Source organism: Homo sapiens, chromosome 7 (genome assembly GCF_000001405.40).
Source record: "Homo sapiens chromosome 7, GRCh38.p14 Primary Assembly".
Lineage (NCBI taxonomy): Eukaryota > Metazoa > Chordata > Mammalia > Primates > Hominidae > Homo > Homo sapiens.
In genome coordinates, this window is record NC_000007.14 from 143,311,556 (window position 1) to 143,333,840 (window position 22,285).

The window sequence follows — 22,285 nt, forward strand, 5'->3', positions numbered from 1 at the left end:
TAATGGACCCTAGGATGATCTATTTAAAACCCCAAAAGAGGCCGGGTGCAGTGGCTTACACCTGTAATCCCAACACTTTGGGAGGCCAAAGCGGGCAGATTACCTGAGGTCAGGAGTTCAAGACCAGCCTGGCCAACATGGTGAGAAACCCATCTCTACAAAAATACAAAAATTAGCCGGGCATGACCGTAAGTGCCTGTAATCCCAGCTACTCGGGAGGCTGAGGTGACAGAATCGCTCAAACCCGGGAGACGGAGGTTGCAGTGAGCAGAGATCGCGCCATTGCACTCCAGCCTGGGTGACAGTGAGACACCATCTCAAAAAATAAATAAATAAAATAAATAAAACCCGAAAGAATATATATCATTTATGCATGCTTATGAATTTGCTTCCACATTCAGGAGCCTTACAGGAATCCCTAGAAGCCCATCTTTGTGCCTCCAAATAAGAACCTAAGCTACTAAGCCCAGCGGGATGATGGAGTGAGGAGTGGGCATGGTTTACATTTTCTTTTCTTGTTCTCTTGCAGGGATTTAAACCCATGGGATTTAAACTATTCCTAATTTCAAACACAGGATATTTACTCTCAAACCCTTGCCCACCAGCACTGGCAGTCTGTACATGTCTTTGACCCTCCTAATTTCAGAATCTGGTTTTAAGAATCGCAGTTGGTGCTTTCCTTCTAGACCACACGCTTCCACTCAGCTTGGCTGGATGTGAGCACTTCCCTACTCCACTGGTCTCTGCCTTCAAATCTCAGAGTCCATGACTAGGCTGCTCTGTTTTAGGGCCCTGTCTTTCTCAGAAATAGTAAGAAAGTCATAATTGTATCTCATATCTTGCTGCTTATATTTATCAAGTTTCTACAGCAACTGATCACTTTCAGGAAAGCTATACTCCTCAAATGGGAGAATCTTGTTTCTGAAGTCCTCCAAGGAATGCAGTGTTACCTTGGCACTCTATTTTTTTGTGTGTGCAACAATGTCTTTTATTATGTATGCGGTTTTAAAATTATTTCTTGAATCTCTCCATACACAGGCAAAAAATAAGTGTGCTACTTAACATACTGGAACTTGCCTAACTTAATCATTGCCCAGAGAAGGGAAAATTATCACCAAAATGTGCTTAACCAGGAGGCCAATGCATCTGCCAACCTCCAAGAACATGGAGATGAACTTGACAGACAGACTGTCCACCATCTGAACCTTTATTCACCACCATTTGATAACCCTTATTCAGGCCCAAATCAGCAGCACATTTCTTGCCAACAATCATTAAGTGTCCAAGAAGACTTTCGTCATTATCTTCTGCTGCAGAAATCTGGGATATATGTTTTTTCGATATCAACAGAAAACGTGTTGGTGCTTGAGGGGAAGTGTCATGGAAAGCAAGGCACTGGTCATCCTCAAAAATGATTTTGGCTGGGATTTCCTTGCAGATGATCTTCCCGAAGACAGTGTTGCCACCAGGCCGAGCGACCTGAGCCTTGGCGATCTCACCTGCCATCTCTGCCTGTCTCCCACACAGCAGGCAGGGTAGAGGCTCAGAAGGAGGGAGGAACCCACAGATTCTATTTTCTTTGTTAAGAAAGTAATCCTTTCTGCTCATACCAATCCCATAGATGTCTATCCTTATTTTCTGCCTGCAGAAAAGGTGGGTATCATCACAGAATGTTTAGTCTCTCAATTCATCACACATTTGTAATTTTTTGGAGAGATTATAGGCCTTGAGGTTTGTAGGATTGTTGTTAGAGCAGGTGTTTTGTTTTTTTTTTTTTTTAGCTACATTGGTGTATAATTGACAACTAGAAATTATACATATTTAATTACTACTTGAGACCGTGATTACAGCAGTTACTACTGTTACCACTTGAAACCATCATTATGACCGAACAAAGGGACGAATGTAGAAATGAAAACTTAAGACAAAAGAAACTGTTTTAAGGAAAGGCAACATGAAGAAGAAGAGAGCTCCCTGCTTCTAGTGAGCAAAGGCAGCTCCCCTGCCGAGCTTCTCAGCCCTTCATATTTACTGGGTAACAAGAACAAGAAGGAGGTAACGATTGGTCAGCTGCTGAATTGATCACAGGTTCATATTGTTACTGACAAGCTTCAATTGTACCTAATCATAAGAAACATTTGTGCGGCCTCCAACAATGTACAACTTGATGTGTTGATATATGTGTACATTGTGAATGATCATCACAATCAAGCCGGTTAACATATCCATCACCTCACATAGTTGCTTTGGGGGTGCAGGGAGGTGAGAACATTCAAGATCTACCCTCTTAGCAAATTTCAAGTATGTGGTATTACTACCTATAGTTACCATGCACATTAGATCTCCAGGACTTTCTCATCTTGTATAAGTGAACCTTGTATCCTTTGACCAAATTTCCCCATTCTCCCACCCCCTACTCCAGCCCAGCCCCTGGCAACTACCCTCTACTTTCTGCTTCTATGAGTTTGACTATTTTAGATTCCACATACAAGTGCAATCATGCAGTATTTTTCTTTCTGTGTCTGCAATGTTTGACTTAGCGTAATGTCCTCCAAGTTCATCCATGTTGTCACAAGTGGCAGGATTTTCTTCTTTGTCAGGGTTGAATAGTATTCCATTATATATATTTATATACACATGACATTATTCATCTGTTAGTGGACACTTAGGTTGTTTCCATTTCTAGGCTATTGTGAATAATGCTGTAATGAACATGGGAGTGCAGATACCTCTTTGAGATACTGATTTCCTTTCCCTTGGATGTATGGGAGTTGCTGAGTCATATGGCAGTTCTGTTTTTACCTTTTGAGGAACTTTTATACTGTTTTTCATAATGACTATACCAGTTTACATTCCCACCAACAGTGCACAAGGGTTCCCTTTTCTCTGCATTCTCACTAACATTTATCTCATCTTTTTATTTAATTTTTTTTTGAGACATAATCTCACTCTGTAGACCAGGATGGATTGCAGTGGTGCCTTCCCAGCTCACTGCAGCCTCCACCTCCCGGGCTTCAGTGATCCTCCTGTCTCAGCCTCCCAAGTAGCTGGGACTACAGGCGTGCACCACCACACATGGCTGATTTTTATAATTTTTATAGAGACAGGGTCTCCCCATGTTGCCAGGTTGGTCTCGAACTGCTGGGCTTAAGCATTCCACCCGCCTTGGTCACCCACATTGCTGGGATTATAAGCATGAACCATAATATCCATAGCCATAATAATGGCTATCTCTTGCTTTTTTGATAATAGCCATCCTAACAGGTATGAGGCGATATTGCATTATGATTTTGGTTTCCTGATGATTAATGATGTTGAGGCCCTAGAAAAAGTACTTTTAATGATATTGGCTTCCCTCCTGCTTTGGGTGGTTCCATTTAGCCTAGGTCAAAATCACATTGTAGACCAGATGTTTGGTGTCCCTACCCTGCAGTCCCTGAACTTGGACTGTCCTGGGACAGACCCCACTTGGTAATGCATCCTAAACTTTACTTTGGCTCAGTTCATATCTTTTCTCCTACAGTGAAGAGTTCATAGGGAAGACATGTCATAGGAAAATTGGTTTTATAACGTGATGCCAGGAAGAAAAGTTTGTCCTTGGCCAAAAAAGTATTTATTGACCTGAAAAGGGAAGAATAGCAGAGAGCACTTCCCCATCATCTTTCATGTTTGTCGGGCTTGTCATGAGAAGCCCTCACCCCTTTCCCACCTCTCCCTTCCCTGTGCCTCTTTCTACTTTCGATTCTCCCCTGTTATCTCCCTTGTTATCTATCTGATGGAGCCAGTGTGGGCACTCCACAGTCCAAATGGAAGCTCAGTCCCTCCGGGTTGGCAGTGTGGCTGACACCTAACAGTCTGGGAAGTGGGAGAAATTCTAGAACCCAAGGCTATTACCGACCCTCGACTTCCCACTTCCCATAAGTGTTCCACACCCAGTGAGTGATAAGGATGGGATCAGGGGATGCCCCCAAGCTGTTATTAGCAGCCTCTGGCAGACAGAAGGGCAAAGAGCTAGAGAAGAACGCTGGACATGGGATGGGCTGGCAGAGCTGGCCAGACAGAACCCTGGGTGGACACAGAGTTGGGAACAAGCTGGCCAGGAGATGTGGCAGAGAGGCACCAGTTACTTTCCCAGGTGAGTTAATGTGCCAGTGTTTCCAGAACTTCGAGTCGCTTCATCTTTATCCAGCACCCACCCCTCACCTTCCGCATCCTGAAGAAGAGAGATGGGCAACTGGAGGGCTTCCATGCAGATCCGGCTCTACACATAGGTTTGAGAGCATACTCAGCAGTTTCTCATCCTGGTCCAGGCGATATTTATAGAGGGACCAGTGACATGGAGCTGGAAGCCTACTACTGGTGACTAAGAAGGGGGACAATGCCACTGGCTCAGCAGAGGGAATTCCCTGTGGGGCTGTCCCTCAGGTTCTCATCCCAACCCCCACCCCCACACTGCACTCACACCTGCTTCGACCCCAAGCAGATCAGATGTGGCAGTGGGGGGTCATGTGACGGAGAGGGGTCTATAAATAGCTGGAGGTGGGCATGCTGCCCCAGACGCCTTGGGGACAGCAAGAGCAGAGGCTTAAGGAGCTACACTGGGGGAAGGACAGGGGCAAGCAGGCCAAGGCCTGGCCGGGGCTCGGGGGGAGGGAATATGGAGCAATCCCGGTCACAGCAGCGTGGGGGTGAACAAAGCTGGTGGGGTAGTGACCCCCAGTACCAGTATATGCCCTTTGAACACTGCACCAGCTACGGACTGCCCTCTGAGAATGGGGGCCTCCAGCACAGGCTCCGGAAGGATGCAGGCCCCCGCCACAACGTCCACCCCACACAGGTAAAGTGCTCTAAGGGGAGAGGGGAGCCATGGATGAGGGGAGACAGTGGTGCCAGAGACTGGTGAAAATGAGGAATTGGGTGAAAAGAGGGAGCAGTGTTACATTTTTTTAACTTAAAAAACAAGTACGTGGTGATGTGTTCAAAATATGAAAATCTTTGAAAGTCTGGGCTCACTTAAGTATGCACTTAGAGAGATATGCATGCACTTTCATACAACCTTTACCAACAGAGTACCCAAATCATATGGGGAAACAGCAGAGCCTCACATGCATGAATAGCTCGTGCTTACATAACCTACGTGGAGTGGATTGCGTAGGAGCCCACACTGCAGTGTGCTGGGAGCTGTCTCCCACACCCTCACCCACAGGTAGACACTGCCAGATTTCTGCCTCTGGGACCCTCTGCAGAATACACACAAACATGAATCTTTCTGCAGAAGGCAGAAGAAAGGAATTGGGCAAGTGTAGAAAACAGACTGAATTGCTTATCAGTGATCAAAGATCTACCAACGTCAAAATGAGCAGAGATGTACAAGCTTTTAGGTCGCAAGATGATCAAGTAAGAACCTATTAAGTGTTAGGCACCTGGAAAAGGGCAGAGATGTGATCCCAGCAACAGAAGCATGCAGGCTAATTAGGAGTGTCTATGGATGAGCAGCCTCCCGCTGTGGGATTGGTGGGATATGAACACCTAGGAAAGGGGGAATGGGGATGGGCACAACTAAAGGAAAGGTTGTGAAATTGTCATGGAAAAAGATAGGTCATGGTTAATAAGTAAGTGTGCCTCTCCCTCCAAAGAATGCAGAGAATAACAGAGGATAGAATTTGTCTAGAGGGCAGTTGGCCAGAACTTTTTTTTTTTTTTTTTTTTTTGAGATGGAGTCTCGCTCTGTCTCCCAGGCTGGAGTGCAGTGGTGCTATCTTGGCTCACTGCGACCTCCGCCTCCCGGGTTCAAGCAATTCTCTTTCCTCAGCCTCCTGAGTAGCTGGGATTACAAGCACCTGCCACCATACCTGGCAAATTTTTGTACTTTCAGTAGAGACGGGGTTTTGCCATGTTGGCCAGGCTGTCTCGAACTCCTGACCTCAGGTAATTCACCCGCCTTGGCCTCCCAAAGTGCTGGAATTACAGGTGTTAACCACTGTGCCCAGTCTGGTCAGAACTTAAAAGGCTTTTTTTTCTTTCTTTTTTTTTTTTTTAACAGGGAGCCTTCAGTTCCTTTAGGTTTAAGGCTGGGAAGCTGAGGCATGAGCTATGCAGGGGATCTCAGCACTGGGGGTCAAAAGGATCTGCTCTCAGTCCCTGACCAACCCCCAGGAGTATTTGCAAAGGCAGCGCTAGGGACCCAGTAGGGAAGAGGGACATACAGGTCAGTGTAGGCTGGAATCGAGCATTGGGAAGGTTTCTTGGAGACAGCGGGGTCTGACTAGGCCTTTGAACACTGTGTGGGATCAGCAGGAGGGAAGACCCCTCCCCCTGGCCCTGTGTTCTCACTCGTGTACATGGTTGTATCTGGGTGGGATGGCAACTTGAGTAACAGTGCCATTATGGCACTTCCTGATGACAGTTCTCGTGTTGGGAAGCTATGGTTAGTTTGGGGAGTAGAATTGGCCTGTTTTCTACAGGTCTCAAAAGTAAACAAGAGTTTGGATTAGTTTTTCTTTGTTTAATTTTTATTATGGAAGACTTACACAAAAATGGAATGGTATAGTGAAGCCCCAAGTACCCACCAGTTGTCAATATTTTGTCACTATTGTTCCATCTATTCTTCCCTTCCCCACCCTCACCACTCTACACACCATGGAATACTTTTTTTTTGTTTTTTGTTTTTTGTTTTTTGTTTTTGAGATGGAGTTTCGCTCTTGTTGCCCAGGCTGGAATGCAATGGCGCGATCTCAGCTCACCGCAATCTCCGCCTCCCTGGTTCAAGCAATTCTCCTGCCTCCGCCTCCCAGGTAGCTGAGATTACAGGCATGCGCCACCATGCCTGGCTAATTTTTGTATTTTTAGTAGAGACGAGGTTTCTCCATGTTGGTCAGGCTGGTCTTGATCTCCTGACCTCAGGTAACCTGCCCATCTCAGGCTCCTAAAGTGCTGGGGTTACAGGGGTGAGCCACTGAGCCTTGCTTCCACCTTGGAATACTTTTTAACAAATCCCAGACATTGTATCACTTGTAGACTTGAGTTTTGACTTCTCCCTTGCCCTCCCCTCACCCTGCCCTGCATGGGACCAGCCAGAACAGATCTGGCCCTTTAAGTGTTTTCCCAGCCCAGGTATGATGATATGAAGCAACCCCCTTCCTTGTCTCCACTGGCCTGGGGCCTTGAGGAGCTGAGACAGCCTCAGCTGTCTGACTTCCACTGGGAAGTATGTTCTCTCTCTGGGTCCCACGCAGGGTTTGGAAGGAAACACTGCCTCCCTCGGTCACTGACCCAGAAGACAAACAGCCATGAGCAGGGCAATTCATGTGCGTGCTTGTTCAGGACTGCGGTGTAAAATGCTGCTCATATTGTGAAATCAGATCTCTTCTACTCAGGCTCTCCCAGAATCCAGCAACATGGCCTGGCCTGACCCTGGCCCCAGAGGACAGTTAGTGTAGTGGGAGTGGGGCAGGCTAAAAGTGGTTGGAGCTCTTGTATACCCCACACAGACACACGTGCTCTGCCTCAGGATGGAAGCGGAGGGCCACCAGACCTGGGGGAGCTGCTCTGTCCTCTTCACATGTGGGGCAGGTAGGGGTCTAATTATCTAGCTGTGGGAAGAAGTAGATGGACCTGCCTTTTCGGGCTAGTTCTTGTGTGTGCATACAAGCACTGGGAGATGAAGTGGATGGTCTTGAAGCTTGATAGAGGACCTGAGGTGCCTCAGGTAAGGCTAGACACACCAAGGCAAAGTGCAACCAAGACTGCCCTGCTAGTTAGCCCAGTCTGTCCTCACCCTGTTCATGTTAGGAGAAAAGTCAATGCAAGTGGTCTGGGGAAATTGTGGGACATACAGAAAGCGCAGTGACACAAAACACCTGATTGATATGGCCACCTGGGTTCAGCACAGTTCTGTACCTCTGCTTCAAAGCAAAAACTGGCCTCCTTGATAAAGGCTACCCTGGATCAAGGTGAGTACAGGTTGGAGAATGGGTGTAGAGAAGGTAGGATGAATGAACAAGGGAAAGGGTGGGAAGTGTGGGAATGGAGGGTGGAGAGTAGAGGGCAGGGATGACCACAAAGTCACCCTGCATGCAGTCAACACCCAGAATTCAAAAAGCTGTTGTTCTTTTCTTCTGTGAGTCTGTCTGCTGGCCTCTGTCTATTATTTTTTTAGTCTTCCACAAGGCAGACACTGATCATTCTCTCTCTGTCCAGATTTATGGCCATCACAAAGAACAATTCTCAGACAGGGAGCAGGACATAGGGATGCCCAAGAAGACAGGCTCCAGTTCTACCGTGGACAGCAAGGATGAGGATCACTATTCTAAATGTCAAGGTGATGGGGACTGAGGAATAAAGAAATCTGGAGTAGAAACAGGTACAGGGATTAGGAGAATAACTTGGGCATCCCATTGCACGTACGTACTCCCTGCCCTGCTACAAAAACTCTCCTCTAATTGTTTTTAAGAGACAGGGTCTCACTCTGTCATTCAGACTGAAGTGCAGTGGAGTGATCATAGCTCACTGCAGCCTAGAACTCCTGGGCTCAAGTGATCCTCCTGCCTCAGCCTCTCCAGTAGCTGAGACTATAGGCACATGCCACCATGCCCAGCTAATTTTAAAACTTTTTTTGTAAGGATGCTGAGGCTGGTCTTGAACTCCTGGCATCAAGCAATCCTCCCGCCTTAGCCTCCCAAATTCCTGGGATTAGAGGCGTGAGCCACCATGCTTGGCCCCTCTAAGTATTAAGGAAAAGGCACCTCTCTTCACCTCCTTCGCACTTTGCCTATTCCCTGTTATTCCTCCCACAACTCCAAGAAATGAGTTTTAGGAAGGAATTCAAGTATTCATGGGGAACTGGGCTTTGGTGCCTTTTGCAGGGGCCGGAGCAGCAATCAGCAGAGGGGTAATGAGAAACTCAGTGCATAAGACATACGGACCCTGGGGGCCCAAGGCTTCCCCTCCCATCTTGGGTATAGCACCCAAAGTAAAGTAGTGACTCGTTAGCTGCTTTTCTCTCTCTCTCTCTCTCTCTCTCTCTCTCTCTGTCTCTACATATATATATTTTTGTTTGTTTGTTTGTTTGTTGTTTGTTTGTTTGTTTTTTCCCTCATCTCTTCCTAGATTGTATCCACCGCCTGGGACAGGTGGTGAGAAGAAAATTAGGGGAAGACGGGATCTTTCTGGTGCTTCTGGGACTGCTGATGGCTCTGGTCAGCTGGAGCATGGACTACGTCAGTGCCAAAAGCCTTCAGGGTAGGTTTAACCTGGACCTTTGCCCACAGCCGTTTCTGGAGTTTCTACCTAGGGTAAGCAGGGTGTGTTATCGGAAGCGAATGTTAAGCAGGGTGTGTTATGGGAAGCGAATATTGCGCAGAGAGGGATCAGGTGGGACTCCAGGCCCAGAAAAGACCAGACCCAGGCCTGCTCCACTTCTCACGCCCCTCCACTCACTGCCACCCAAGCAGTGGATGCCCCTCTAATAGGGTGGCCAACTTGCCCCAGTTCCCCAGGGACTTTCCCAGTTTCAGCACTGAACATCCCGAATCCCAGGAAGCCCCTTGGTTCTGGGCACACCGGGTGGTTGGTCACACCCAGGCCTCCAGACCCTGTACTCCAGTGGGATTCGTGACACAGCCACCAACTGGAACAGGCCATGTCGCCTCCATAACTCAGGCTTCCCATGTGTCAAATGAGAGCAGCACCATCTCAGAAGGGGCACACAGAAGGAGCACGGCCTGAGAACATGCCGGGTACACGTCCTGGTGCCGTGGACACGGCTGCTCAGCCATGTTCTGCCTAACCCCAGGCATGTGTCTCCGCAGCCTACAAGTGGTCCTACGCGCAGATGCAGCCCAGCCTTCCTCTGCAGTTCCTGGTCTGGGTCACCTTCCCACTAGTCCTCATCCTCTTCAGCGCCCTCTTCTGCCACCTCATCTCTCCCCAGGCTGTTGGTGAGAACTTGCCACCAGACTCGGCCTGAGCTGGGTGGCCTGAGAGGGGCCCTGTCTGTCTCCCCCATCATCCAGCCCCACCCACAGCCCTGTGCTGCCTTGCCCCATCCTCCCCACCACTGCCTCTTCAGCCCTCTCCAATTCCCATTCCCATATTCTGGACATTCATCTCCCTTTTCACCTTCACCTTGACCCTGCACATAATCTTTCAACGCTTTTAGGCTCTGGAATCCCCGAAATGAAGACAATACTTCGTGGGGTTGTCCTGAAGGAATACCTCACAATGAAAGCCTTTGTGGCCAAGGTTGTCGCCCTGACTGCGGGCCTGGGCAGTGGCATCCCCGTGGGGAAAGAGGTAGGCCTGGCATGACTGAAGCCAGAGCTGGGAGGGGCCCTCAGGAGCCAGGGTGGCACCAACTCTAGAGGGAGCTCTGGGAGTGGAAGTGGATCAGGGGACAGGACCAAGGCCAGGGCCAGGGGACACTAGGAAGGGGAAATGCTTTGGAAGTTCCTCCAACTGAGGTCCAATGACAAAAACCACACAGCTTGGGGAGCTTGGAGCAGGCTCTTAGCCTGGACACCCCTGACATTTGGGGCTGGAAAACTCTGTGCTGTGGGGAGGCTGTTCTGTGCAGTGGAGGGGACTTAGCAGCATTGCTGGCCTCTGACCCTTCCTAGATGCCCAGCTGCATCGCCCAGTTGTGACACCAGCATGTCCTCAGACATTGCCATATGGACCCTGGAGGACAAAATCTCCCCTGGTTGAGAACACTGTCTTAGAGATCATCCAGACCAATTCTCTTGCTTGAATCTGAGAAAACTAGGACTGAGAAAGAGGCTGTGCTATTTTCAAGGTTGCTCGGTGGGTTGCAGCCTCCTTCCGTTCTCTGCTGGTGTTCATCTTTGCCCCCTACTGCCATATTCCACCCAGCAGCCAGAGGCATCTTTTAAAAATGGGATCAGTCTCATCTGACCCCTGGTCAAAAACTTCTTAAGGCTTTCCATGCCTCTTAAAACAAAATTGAAAGTTTTGTTGTTGTTGTTGTTGAGACAGTGTCTAGCTCGCTTGCCCAAGCTGGAGTGCAGTGGTGCGATCTTGGCTCACTGCAACCTCCACCTCCCAGGTTCAAGCGATTCTCCCACCTCAGCTTCCCGAGTAGCTGGGACTGCAGGCACACGCCACCACATCTGGTAATTTTTGTATTTTTAGTGGAGATAGGGTTTCACCATATTGGTCAGGCTGGTCTCAAACTCCTGACCTCGGGTGATCACCTGCCTTGGCCTTGCAAAGTGCTGGGATTACAGGCGTGCGCCACCGCGCCCGGCCTTATCAGAACTTCTTGCGTGGCCTTCGAGACCGTGGACTCTGGTTCCTCCTCTCTGCAGGCCTGTGCCCCTGCTTTCCTGTGTTTGGCTCACAAGTTTCCTTTCTGTCCCTCAGTCACTCTGCCCTGGGCCCCTCAGGGCGCCTGTGTGCTGTTTTCTCAGCCTGGAACATTCTTCCTCCTGACATCTGCGCGGCTCCCTCCCTCCCATCATTCAAAGCTCTACTTTAGGCAGGCTCCTCAGGCCCTTTCCTCTAAACACGTGCCCTCCCACCCTCCTCCACCCTGGCTCTCTGGAGAGGAGAAACACACTGGTTTCTCCTCTTCTTCCTCTCTGGGATGAGGCCTCGTGAGGGCAGGACCTCTGTGTAACTCCCGTATTTCCAGCCCCTGGCACAGTGCCTGGAGTAAGGAATATTATTAGTCCAGTGAGTGCTGCAGAGCCTCCATCTGGCCTCTGACCCCCGCCCCCTCGCTCCCCCTCTCCCAGGGCCCCTTCGTCCACATTGCCAGCATCTGTGCTGCTGTCCTCAGCAAATTCATGTCTGTGTTCTGCGGGGTATATGAGGTAAGGTTGAGACAGTGAAATGAGCTGGGGCCAGGTGGTAGAAGGAGTCCGGCTGTGTGTCCAGGGTGTTGGGAGGGCTGCCTCTGCTCTGGGCTGGCTGTGGTGCTGAAGCAGCATCGCACTAATCCACGCTCCCTTCCTCGTCTCCCTGTCTGCCTACCCTGGCCACGTGATGCCTCTGTTTAGCCTGTGCCTGTCCTCCAAATGTCCACCCCTCTTTCACCTGTGGCCCCACATGGAGGTCTGGTCTGTCGTCTGCTCCCATGCTCTCCCTGCTAGTCCATACCACCCCCTCTGTGTTAGTTTCCCTCCACGTTTCCCTCGTGTGCTCCCCCATCCCTTTGTAGCTCCCAATCCCTCACCCTACCTCTTACATACGTCCCGCCTGCCCCACCCCTCCACCCCCTTGTCCCGCGTGCTTCTCTGTTGCAGACCGTGCCTGGGCAGCTTGACCTCCTGGTGTCGGCCTGTGCAGTGGGCGTGGGATGCTGCTTTGCAGCCCCTGTCGGAGGCAAGTTGCACTTCCTCCCTATCCCGGTTGCCTAAGCAAGACTTAGAAGGGGGTTTTGGGTGGCTGCCACAAGCTTTGGAGTGGGCATCCAGGGAATGACTGTGGATCACAGCCCCTGCGGTCCAGATACCTATATTTTTTCAGCAAAGGGCTGTGTATTATTTTGAGACTGCTTGCTGTTTGGTGCAGGATTTATTAGTACTGCTTTCTGGAGTTCTTGCTGTCTCTTTTCTGCTTATCATTTATTGATTTACGTGCCTGGCATATATTTGCCTAACTTTTATTTCATTTTCTACCTTCTATTTCATTTTGACACTGTGCTATGAGGTTAATTCCTTTTTGCCAAACTCACTGAGTTTCTCTTGGCCTGGGAATCACAGGGGACATGGGACCACAAGGACTCCTTTTGACTTAGGCCTCTCATTCTGCCTTATTCCCCATCCCTGCTTGTTCTGTCCTCTGCCTGCCCACCTCCCTCTCTTCCACCTGTTTCTCTGTCTGTCTCTCCCCTAGTAGCAGCCATACTACTACTCTGATATCCTGACGGTGGGCTGTGCTGTGGGAGTCGGCTGTTGTTTTGGGACACCACTTGGAGGCAAGTGATTGACCCCCTCCCCCATCAATCGGCTTGCCTGGCCTGGCTCCCAAAACAGTTTTAATCAGTATCCACAAGTGCTGGTATTACCAGGTTACTTACGAGAATAGCTGACTTTTAGTAAGCCTTTGCTATGTGCCAGGCAATGTTTAAAGCACTTACTTTTATTCCTGGCCAAAGCCATATGAGACAGATATTACAGAGGAGGAAGAGGAGAGAACTGAGTTACAGAGAGGGACAGTGACTTGAGCAAGTTCATTCTGTTAGTAAGGTACAAGCCAGGAATTAAAACCAAGGCAGTCTCCGTGGCTCCCCTACTTATTTTCAAACCTGTTTGTATTGTTGGATGTTTTTGCCCTACACCGATGACATCTCTAACAGGGGACTCTATGAACTTCCTCCTTCAAGGGAAAAATCCACATTTTGTTGTGCTTTATTAATTGCATGGGAATTCAGGTAGACCTTATTTAGATTAATGGTAAGCTTTTAGTGTGGAATAGTTAGGAGAGTTTCAAAGGATAAATGTCCCTTGATAGCAATTTAAAGTTAAGTTTAGCTCTTTCTCCAAGTATAAGGCAAATAGCGATCTCTCAGATTATTTTCCTTATCATGGATGATTAACAAATGGATGTAGTCGGAGAAAGCAGTCGTATCTGTTTATTGACTCATCAAAATCAATTATAGCTAGATTAGCAGGGCAGGATTATATAGATCATTCACTGGATTCATTGATGATAAAAAGGACACCAAGTTGATATGTGAAGAAACAAAATTGCAGGAAGGGCATATGCTTCTTAAATGACCCACTGTTAGAGGTTTCTTTTCAGTTATGGAAATGTTAAGCAATCTTTTCATAGAATCTTCCAGGGAACTAAAATGACTTGGTGCAGGAATGATAAGTGGAGAAGAGTTTAAAGTTAATGCAAATGCATGATCTAACTTATGCAAACACTGTGGCAAAGCACACAGACTAAGGAACCCAAGTTAGCAAGCACATCAGCTAGCATCCTGTTTACATTTCTGTCCTCAGCTCTACTCATTAAAATCACTAATCCTTGTCAGTGGAGGATAGTGTATTTGGATTTTTGCACATGTTAAACGTTCACACTTACATTTATACCCACTTTTGCCTTTATTTACTCGTTAGCCTTTCAAATCCAGGAGGTTTAAATAATATTTTTAGACTGGGAGACTTCTGTTGTTTTGTTTTAATCAGCCAGATTCTCTTAACATGAAGAGAATTTGCATTTTCCTCGTAAAATTGGAATTTCTGAGAAGAATCAGAAAAGTTCTTCTTGGTCCTGTGTCAAGTATGGGAGAGGTAAAGATCACAGAGAAGTTACAGGCAACAGTTCTGAAACCACTGTGGTAGAAAAAGGAAGAAAAAATTCACAGATAAAACATTGCTGTTGACACAAGAAATTGTTAAGTACTTAAAAATTAAGGTGCCATGTTTACGCTGTTTGTATTATGTGGTAAATGACAAAGGTATTTGCAGGTGGCATTACTTGTTTTTTTTGTTTGTTTGTTTGTTTGTTTGTTTAGATGGAGTCTTGCTCTGTCACCCAGGCTGGAGTGCAGTGGCACCATCTTGGCTCACTGCAACCTCTGTCTCCTGGGTTCAAGCAATTCTCATGCCTCAGTCTCCCAAGTAGCTGGGATTACAGGCCTGCGCCATCACGCCTGGCTAATTTTTTGTATTTTTAGTAGAGACAGGGTTTAACCATGTTGGCCAGGCTGCTCTCAACCTCCTGACCTCAAGTGATCCGCCCACCTTGGCCTATTACTTGATTTTTAAAAAAGAATACCGAATAATTCTGAAAGGAAAATTAGTATCAAAATGAGGTATTCATTATGGAGTCAGCTCTTAATTTCTTACACTAATGAAATAAATGGAATTCAGCATTCTACTGAAATGACAAGCATCTTGCTCCCATTCTGTACCAGGCCCTGTGTTGGATCTTGCACACTCAGGGTGCTCCTAGTTGAGAGGCTGGACAGGCAGGCAAACCTATTGTCATAGCTCACTCGAAAAAGTGGCCCAATGGCAGCTGGGGTAAAGTGCAGTGGGGACCTTATGCTAACCTGCCTACAAGAGCCCATGAAGCTTCACAAAAGAGGTGGTGTTTGACATGAGGCTTGAATAATAAGTAGGACTGGCAAGGAGGATGGTGGGCAAGGTATTCTGGACAGAGGAAACAGCATTGCAAAGTCAAGATGGGGGCAGTAGCTGAGTATTACCAGGGGATACAGAGGAAGGAATAATAGCAAATGAGGCTGGACAAGTAAAGGGGGGCTGAATTATGAAGACTCTCATGGCTATGTATAAGAATATGGAATTTATTCTCTAGACTAGGATTTGCACGAATGTGTTTCATGGTTTACTAGATCTAATGTGTAAAAATGGTTCTATAAACCAGTTGGAAAATGCTTGGTTAAAGAGAGTTTTTTTTAAACTAAAAAAGTTATCAGTGGCCAGGCACAGTGGCTCATGCCCATAATCCCAGCACTTTGGGAGGCCAAGGCAGGCGGATCATGAGGTCAGGAGTTCAAGAACAGCCTGGCCAATATGGTGAAACCCCATCTCTATTAAGAATACAAAAATTAGCTGGGTGTGGTGGCAGGCACTTGTAGTCCCAGCTACTTGGGAGGCTAAGGTGGAAGAATCACTTGAACCTGGGAGGTGGAGGTTGTAGCAAGCTGAGATCGCGCGTCACTGCACTCCAGTCCGGGCAACAGAGTGAGACTCCATCTTAAAAAAAAAAAAAAAGAAAAGTTACCAGAACATTTGATATGCTGACACACATTGGGAATATCCAAAATGTGTCTCTAATGCAGCATTTCCCACAGAACCCTGTCTCGTGGGCATGGGATTTGTAGTATCTCACAGACCTGACTTCGGGAAATACTGTCGGGGTGAATTAAAGTCATGAAATACTTGTGCACAAGGAAGTGATATGGCCAGCTTTGAGTGTCCACCCAATCCCTTTGTCAGATGTGTGCAGGACAAAATTGGTCTGGGGATTAACAGGATTAATCCAAGATTAACAAGAAGACGATTGTCATAGTCCTGATGCTAGGTAGTAAGAGACTGCACTGGACAGAGGCAGAAGAGAAAGAGAAGAATGGTAGAAAGTAAAATTGATATAACCTGGTGATTAATTTTATTTTTTTCTTTTTGAGAGAGGGCCTTGCTCTGTGGCCCAGGCTGGAGTGCAGTGGCGCAATTTTGGCTCACTGCAACCTCTGTCTCCTGGGTTCAAGCAATTCTCCCACCTCAGCCTCCCAGCAGCTGGGACTACATGCGCACGCCACTATGCCTGGCTAATTTTTGTATTTTTTAGTAGAAGTGAGGTTTTTCCATGTTGGCCAGGCTGGTCTCAAACTCCCGGCCTCAAGTGATCTACCCACCTCGGCCTCCCAAAGTGCTGGGGTTACAGGCATGGGCCACCTGCCTAGCATCCCGGTGATTAATTTTGTGTGGGGTAAAAGAGAGGAGGGATCTAGGCTAACACCCAGATTTCCTACAAGGGCAATTGGGTCGATAGTGGTGTTAGTAACCAAGACTGGGTATATGGGAAGTGAAACAGATCTGGTGGGGGGAGCTAGCTGATACATTTCACTTTGAGTGTATTGAATTTGATGTTCCTGTGACATATCTAGGTGAGACCATTTTTGCAGCGGGGTTGACGAGTCTGAAGCTCAGGAACATGGCTTTGCTAATCAGCAGCATATAGGTGTAGTTGTGGCATGAGCATACATGAAATTGAGAGAGAAAGTGTGTCTATGAGTAGGAGGAGCAGGAGACCAAGGACAAAGGCTGGGGTTGGGCAGAGGGACAGGAGCAGCAGAGAAGGTAGAGAGGGAATCCAGGGTGGGAGAAGAGAGCAATGTTCCAGAACCTGAGCAGAGAGCTTCCGAAAGCTGTTTTTGTTTTTAATGCTTTGTTTCCTCTTAGCTGCACATTTTATGTCTGGCTCAGGCTAATATTAAAATTAGCTCTCATTCCGGAGCATACAGTGACAGACTGCTAGGGAAAGTGTCCCAGAACCACGTCGTAGGAAAGAAAACCTAGCCCAGGATTTCAAAAAATTGTTGTAAAATATTCATCAGTTGGATAGTTTACACCCAGGCAAATCAAAGCTGACTGCTTTTGTTACTGGTATAGAAAAGGAGAGAGACTCACTCTACCTGGTTCCTGCTGTGTCAAATCCTCCTTTTAGGCCCCAGAGGCAGCTGCTTACCTGATGTGATGTGAAGAGCAGGGCAGAAGGGGTGATTGGCCAAGCAAGCTCTGTCTGCCCCACATTGCCCATTGCCTTTCTCTGTTTCCTGAAATTCTGTTCTCTTCTGTTCTCTTCTTTCCTCATCCTGTCCTTTCCTCTCCTCCCCTGCTCATCCAGAGAATAGACATTCAGCCCTGATTATTCACCAGGCACTGTACTAGGTGCTGGTTTTCAAGGAATTTTCTTTCTTTCTTTTTTTTTTTTTTCAAGATGGAGTCTTGCTCTGTCACCCAGGCTGGAGTATAGAGGTGCGATCTCGGCTCACTGCAACCTGCGTCTCCCGGGTTCAAGCAATTCTCCTGCCTTAGCCTCCCAAGTAGCTGGGATTACAGGCGCCTGCCACAGCGCCTGACTAATTTTTGTATTTTTAGTAGAGTTAGGGTTTCACCATGTTGGCCAGGCTGGCCTCGAACTCCTGACTTCATGATCCCCCTGCCTCGGCCTCCCAAAGTGCTGGGATTACAAGCGTGAGCCACCACGCCTGGCCTCCCAGGAATTTTCAATCCTAGGGGATCTCTGAAATGTAAAGAAATATCTGGATCTGAAAGTGGTAGTGCTATAATAACCCAAAATTCTGAGAGCGCAGGCTGAAGGACGGATGGTTTCGACCTGAAGAGGAGGATTGGGGATGGCTTCCCAGGGAAGGGGACTTGGGACTGACCACTGGAAATCCTCTGCCAAACTGTAGCAGCTGCTGCATTTGGGAGTAACCATTAGGCCACCCTCCCCCTGGTGCAAATGACCTGATGTAACTAGTCGACTGTCACCTGTAGAAGAGAAGGTGGTGGTCCTGGGGGATTCAAGAGATGTGGCCTTTGAATATAGCACAGGGAGAAGAAAATTACTAGGATGCGAGGTGCTGCCTGAAGAGGGCGTTCACCCTGTTCACATGGAGAGAAAGGGGACAAACCTGCCTAGTTCAAGGTTTCCTGAGGCCAGGCCTCATCTCCATTCATCCAATTATGTGCGTGGTTGCATTTCCCTGGTTCCTTTTCCTCGTTTTTGATAAAGATGAGGCTTAGCCAGGTTTTAGGTAATTTTGTCATCAATTTTTACTTTGCATCAGATTAAAGTCCACCCCCCCTTATTCTTAATATGTTGAAATATTTTTTTCTTTGCCTCTCTTGAGTGTTGCTTTTTACGCCCTCACTCGCATTCCTTACTTTGTCCCTACCAACCCTTGCTCTTTTTCTGTAGATCTACCCCCTCAATTTCTGCTCCAGCACCTACGCTCAGAAACAGTACTACTTAGAACTACTACTTAGCTTTCCTTTTGCCTCACCCACCTTTCTTAAGCATGATTGTTTTTCTCTTCTTCTAGCCTCTTGGTTTTTCCCCTTGCGTTGGTCCTTTTAAGTCGGGTTTTTAGTATTAGTTTATTATTATTATTATTTGTATGACTCCTCTACCTTCTTTTCTTGAACTATCGAGGATGGTCAGCTCCTGCAAAGCCCCCTCCTATTTTTGTTCTGTCTTCCTTATAAGGTTGCCCCAGGGTACATGGTATATGTAGAACGGTAGGAAAGTCCAGAGGAGGGTGTTAAGGAGAGTCCCTGTAAATCCTGAGCTCTGCTTGGCAACTCTACTGAGGAACTGCTCTGGAACTTTCTCTCTCTTAACTTCTCTGCAGATTTTTTTCAACTACCTTTTAGTCCCTGTGGGTATCTGACAGTTGTGAACCCCATTCAACCCTACATTCTAAGGGATGCAGAGGGCACGGACACTTGGTCCTCATGTTTTGGAGGTTGAAGGCCCATTCGTTTTCAATCTTCTCTGTGTTGGACCCATCCCTTGTCTGAAATAAAAATAAAAAACTCCTAGCCTGAGCAGTTGTGTGGTTTTGAGCATGGGAATCCAAGAGATCATTACTTTCCACTACTGCTTCCACCCAGATTCATGTTTCAGCAAAAGCTCCTTAGGTCCAAGCAGTGGGGAGTGTGGGGGAGCACTTTCACTGCTGGCTGCCCCCAACCACACTTCTGTGCCCCTGCAGGAGTGCTATTTAGCATCGAGGTCACCTCCACCTACTTTGCTGTTCGGAACTACTGGAGAGGATTCTTTGCAGCCACGTTCAGCGCCTTTGTGTTTCGAGTGCTGGCAGTGTGGAACAAGGATGCTGGTAACCAAGGAGGCCTTGGGTGGAGGCCATGTGAAATAGAAAAGCTGGGAATGGGGTGCAGAGGAAAACTCTGTGGGGCAGTTCAGAAAAGGAATAATGGGCGGCATCATTTGTGGGGTGGGACCAAGGCCCAAGGGTGTATGACAAAGATATAGGTCATGGAGTGGGAGAGTATATCCATGGAGGAGTGTGCGTAGAAAAAAGGAAAATACATTCAAGAGGAGAAACTGGGATTGGAGGAAGGAAGGAATTAATCCTGAAAACTGCCCACCTCTGTTTCCCTGTTGGGTTTCTACGAAGCTCCCATCGTAATACTGGCCTTTCCATCCTACAGTCACCATCACTGCTCTGTTCAGAACCAATTTCCGAATGGATTTCCCCTTTGACCTGAAGGAACTACCAGCTTTTGCTGCCATCGGGTCAGTGGGGTTACCTGCTCTGTGTGTGGTGAGCAGGGTGTGGAGTGAGGCTGTAGATTGGAAGGGACCCAAGCTAGAAAGAAGGTGCGGTTGGCACAGATAGAGTACATTGCTGGGGGGATGTGGGCAGATAGGAAAGGCAGAAGCCTGGTATTTGTTTCCCTGCAGTAGTTATGTCCAAGAGATGAGGATTTCATGTCTGTAAGATTCCAACTCTATAAATTACACCCTCAGGATTTGCTGTGGGCTCCTGGGAGCTGTATTTGTGTATCTGCATCGCCAAGTCATGCTCGGTGTCCGAAAGCACAAGGCCCTCAGCCAGTTTCTTGCTAAGCAGTGAGTCACTGCCCTTCTTTTGCCCTACCCATTTACTTTCTGGTTTCTCCAAGAGTTCCTCCCTTTTTGTCTTTGGGGAAGGCATTAAATGCCTCTGGGTGGCTTGCATTAAAATATAAGGAAGCTCTGATATTGTGGTTAGGGGGTGAATTGTGTGGTCTCCCATTTAAAGATTATTTTTGTTTTTGTTTTTTGAGACAGAGTCTCACTCCATCACCCAGGCTGGAGTGCAGTGGTGCGATCTCAGCTCACTGTAACCTCTGCCTCCTGGGTTCAAGCGATTCTCATGCCTCAGCCTCCTGAGTAGTTGGGATTACAGACATGCACCAACACGACCAGCTAATTTTTGTATTTTTAGTAGAGATGGAGTTTCACCATGTTGCCCAGGCTGGTCTCGAACTTGTGACCTCAGGGGATCTACCCTCCTTGGCCTCCCAAAGTGCTGGGATTACAGGCATGCACCACCGTGCCTGGCTAATTTTTGTATTTTTAGTAGAGATGGGGTTTCACCATGTTGGCCAGGCTGGTCTTGAACTTGTGACCTAAGGTGATCTGCCCACCTTGGCCTCCCAAAGTGCCCCATGGGATTAGAGGCATGAGCCACCGCACTCGGCCTCAAATATTGGTTTTTTGTGTGAAGAGAATCTTTTTCATTTAAAGAAATGAGACTACGGTGGACTAAAGGAAACTTCAGCTTGCCATCGTTCAGTATGGTATTTACTGTGAGTTGGCTGAATTGTGGCGGTTAACTCTGTTTCTTTTTCAGCCGCCTGCTGTATCCTGGAATTGTTACCTTTGTCATTGCCTCATTCACCTTCCCACCAGGAATGGGTCAATTCATGGCTGGAGAGGTCAGCTGTTGGTGGGGCCACATGGTAAAGAGGAAACAGCACAGATATACCTCAGGCTTCAGAGCATAAGTAGTTTTGTCCAAGGATAGACTTTCTAGATTCTCCCTGAGAAAAGGGCAAAAGAGACCCTTGAATAATGAGGCTGGGGAATAAGTTCTCTAAAAAAGGAAGCACAGGAGTTCCCTGGAGAACCCACCCTTTCTGCTTCTTCCTCTCCCAGTTGATGCCCCGCGAAGCCATCAGTACTTTGTTTGACAACAATACATGGGTGAAACACGCGGGTGATCCTGAGAGCCTGGGCCAGTCAGCTGTGTGGATTCACCCCCGGGTCAACGTTGTCATCATCATCTTTCTCTTCTTCGTCATGAAGGTACTGCTCCTGACACTAGCAACACCCTAAACCTCCATCTGTTTTCAATCTATGAACCCAGGGTTTGCATAGGGTAGGAAGGGGTAGAACTTCATTTGGTCTTCATCCAACCTAAAAATAAGTCATTTGAAAACCATAGAGTTGGCCAGGCATGGTGGCTCACACCTGTAATCCCACCACTTTGGCAGGCTGAGGCAGGTGGATCACTTGATGCCAGGAGTTGGAGACCAACATAGCCAACATAGCGAAACCCCATCTCTACCAAAAATTCAAAAAACTTAGCCAGGCATGGTGGCGCATGCCTGTAATCCCAGCTACTGGGGAGGCTGACGCAGGAGAATCACTTGAACCTGGGAAGTGGAGGTTGTAGTGAGCCAAGATCGTGCCATTGCACTCCAGCCTGGGTGACAGAGTGTGATTCTGTCTCAAAAAAAAAAAAAAAAATTATAGAGTTGTAAGTTGCTATAGAAGTAAACTAGTATCTGAGTTAATTGCTGTATTCACGTCAACTTAGTGTTGTCTGGCATAGTTATCTAACCCTTCTAATTGTTCTTCTTGTTAAATTACTAAGCTGTCACAGTAGCCAAGTAAAAAAGTACAAGATAGAGTTAAGCATTATAAATAACTGTAAAAGCCTTGGATTAATTAACCAAATTCCCCCACTTAGTAGATAATTAAGTATTTCATTCTCCATGTATCTGATGATCCATTTTTTAGGTGATTTGAGCATCTTTTTTCCCCCGGTTTTGTAGATAATCTCTTTTTTAGATCTTCAAAAGGGATAAAATATTTAAATTAATTGTATTAGTGACTACACATAATTTTTATACATGTTATTATTCTCTATTTAGGTGATGAAGCTGTGAGGATTTTGCCATTCCCAAACCATATTCTTCTAGCTTCAACTAGGCAATAAAAGATGATCTCTTTCACATCACTTCTTTTTCATATCTGCCCATCAAGGATT

At 47.3% G+C, this 22,285-nt stretch overlaps 1 protein-coding gene and 1 pseudogene across 2 annotated transcripts in view, besides 1 other annotated feature; one reads left to right on the plus strand and one right to left on the minus strand.

Moving 5' to 3' along the window:
- Positions 975-1,557, minus strand: HINT1P1 (histidine triad nucleotide binding protein 1 pseudogene 1; annotated as a pseudogene).
- The window catches only part of CLCN1 (chloride voltage-gated channel 1), a 35,973-nt gene continuing 18,243 nt past the window's right edge, over positions 4,556-22,285 (plus strand). The window contains exons 1-12 of one of the 2 annotated variants that reach the window (NM_000083.3): positions 4,556-4,837; positions 8,200-8,320; positions 9,109-9,240; positions 9,810-9,938; positions 10,160-10,293; positions 11,754-11,831; positions 12,859-12,937; positions 19,217-19,342; positions 19,677-19,761; positions 19,996-20,097; positions 20,864-20,948; positions 21,169-21,318. In NM_000083.3, the coding sequence (NP_000074.3) occupies positions 4,658-4,837; positions 8,200-8,320; positions 9,109-9,240; positions 9,810-9,938; positions 10,160-10,293; positions 11,754-11,831; positions 12,859-12,937; positions 19,217-19,342; positions 19,677-19,761; positions 19,996-20,097; positions 20,864-20,948; positions 21,169-21,318 (1,401 nt within the window). In that variant the 5' untranslated portion in view covers positions 4,556-4,657. Of the gene's footprint in view, positions 4,838-8,199; positions 8,321-9,108; positions 9,241-9,809; positions 9,939-10,159; positions 10,294-11,753; positions 11,832-12,855; positions 12,938-19,216; positions 19,343-19,676; positions 19,762-19,995; positions 20,098-20,863; positions 20,949-21,168; positions 21,319-22,285 lie in introns of both variants that reach the window. The other variant, NR_046453.2, reaches the window with a different exon arrangement.
- Positions 16,518-16,587: a silencer, noted in NCBI's record as "silent region_18721". NCBI's record gives its function as "represses an Ori minimal core promoter by ATAC-STARR-seq in GM12878 lymphoblastoid cells {active_cell/tissue: GM12878}" and the evidence as "EXISTENCE:reporter gene assay evidence [ECO:0000049][PMID:35858748]".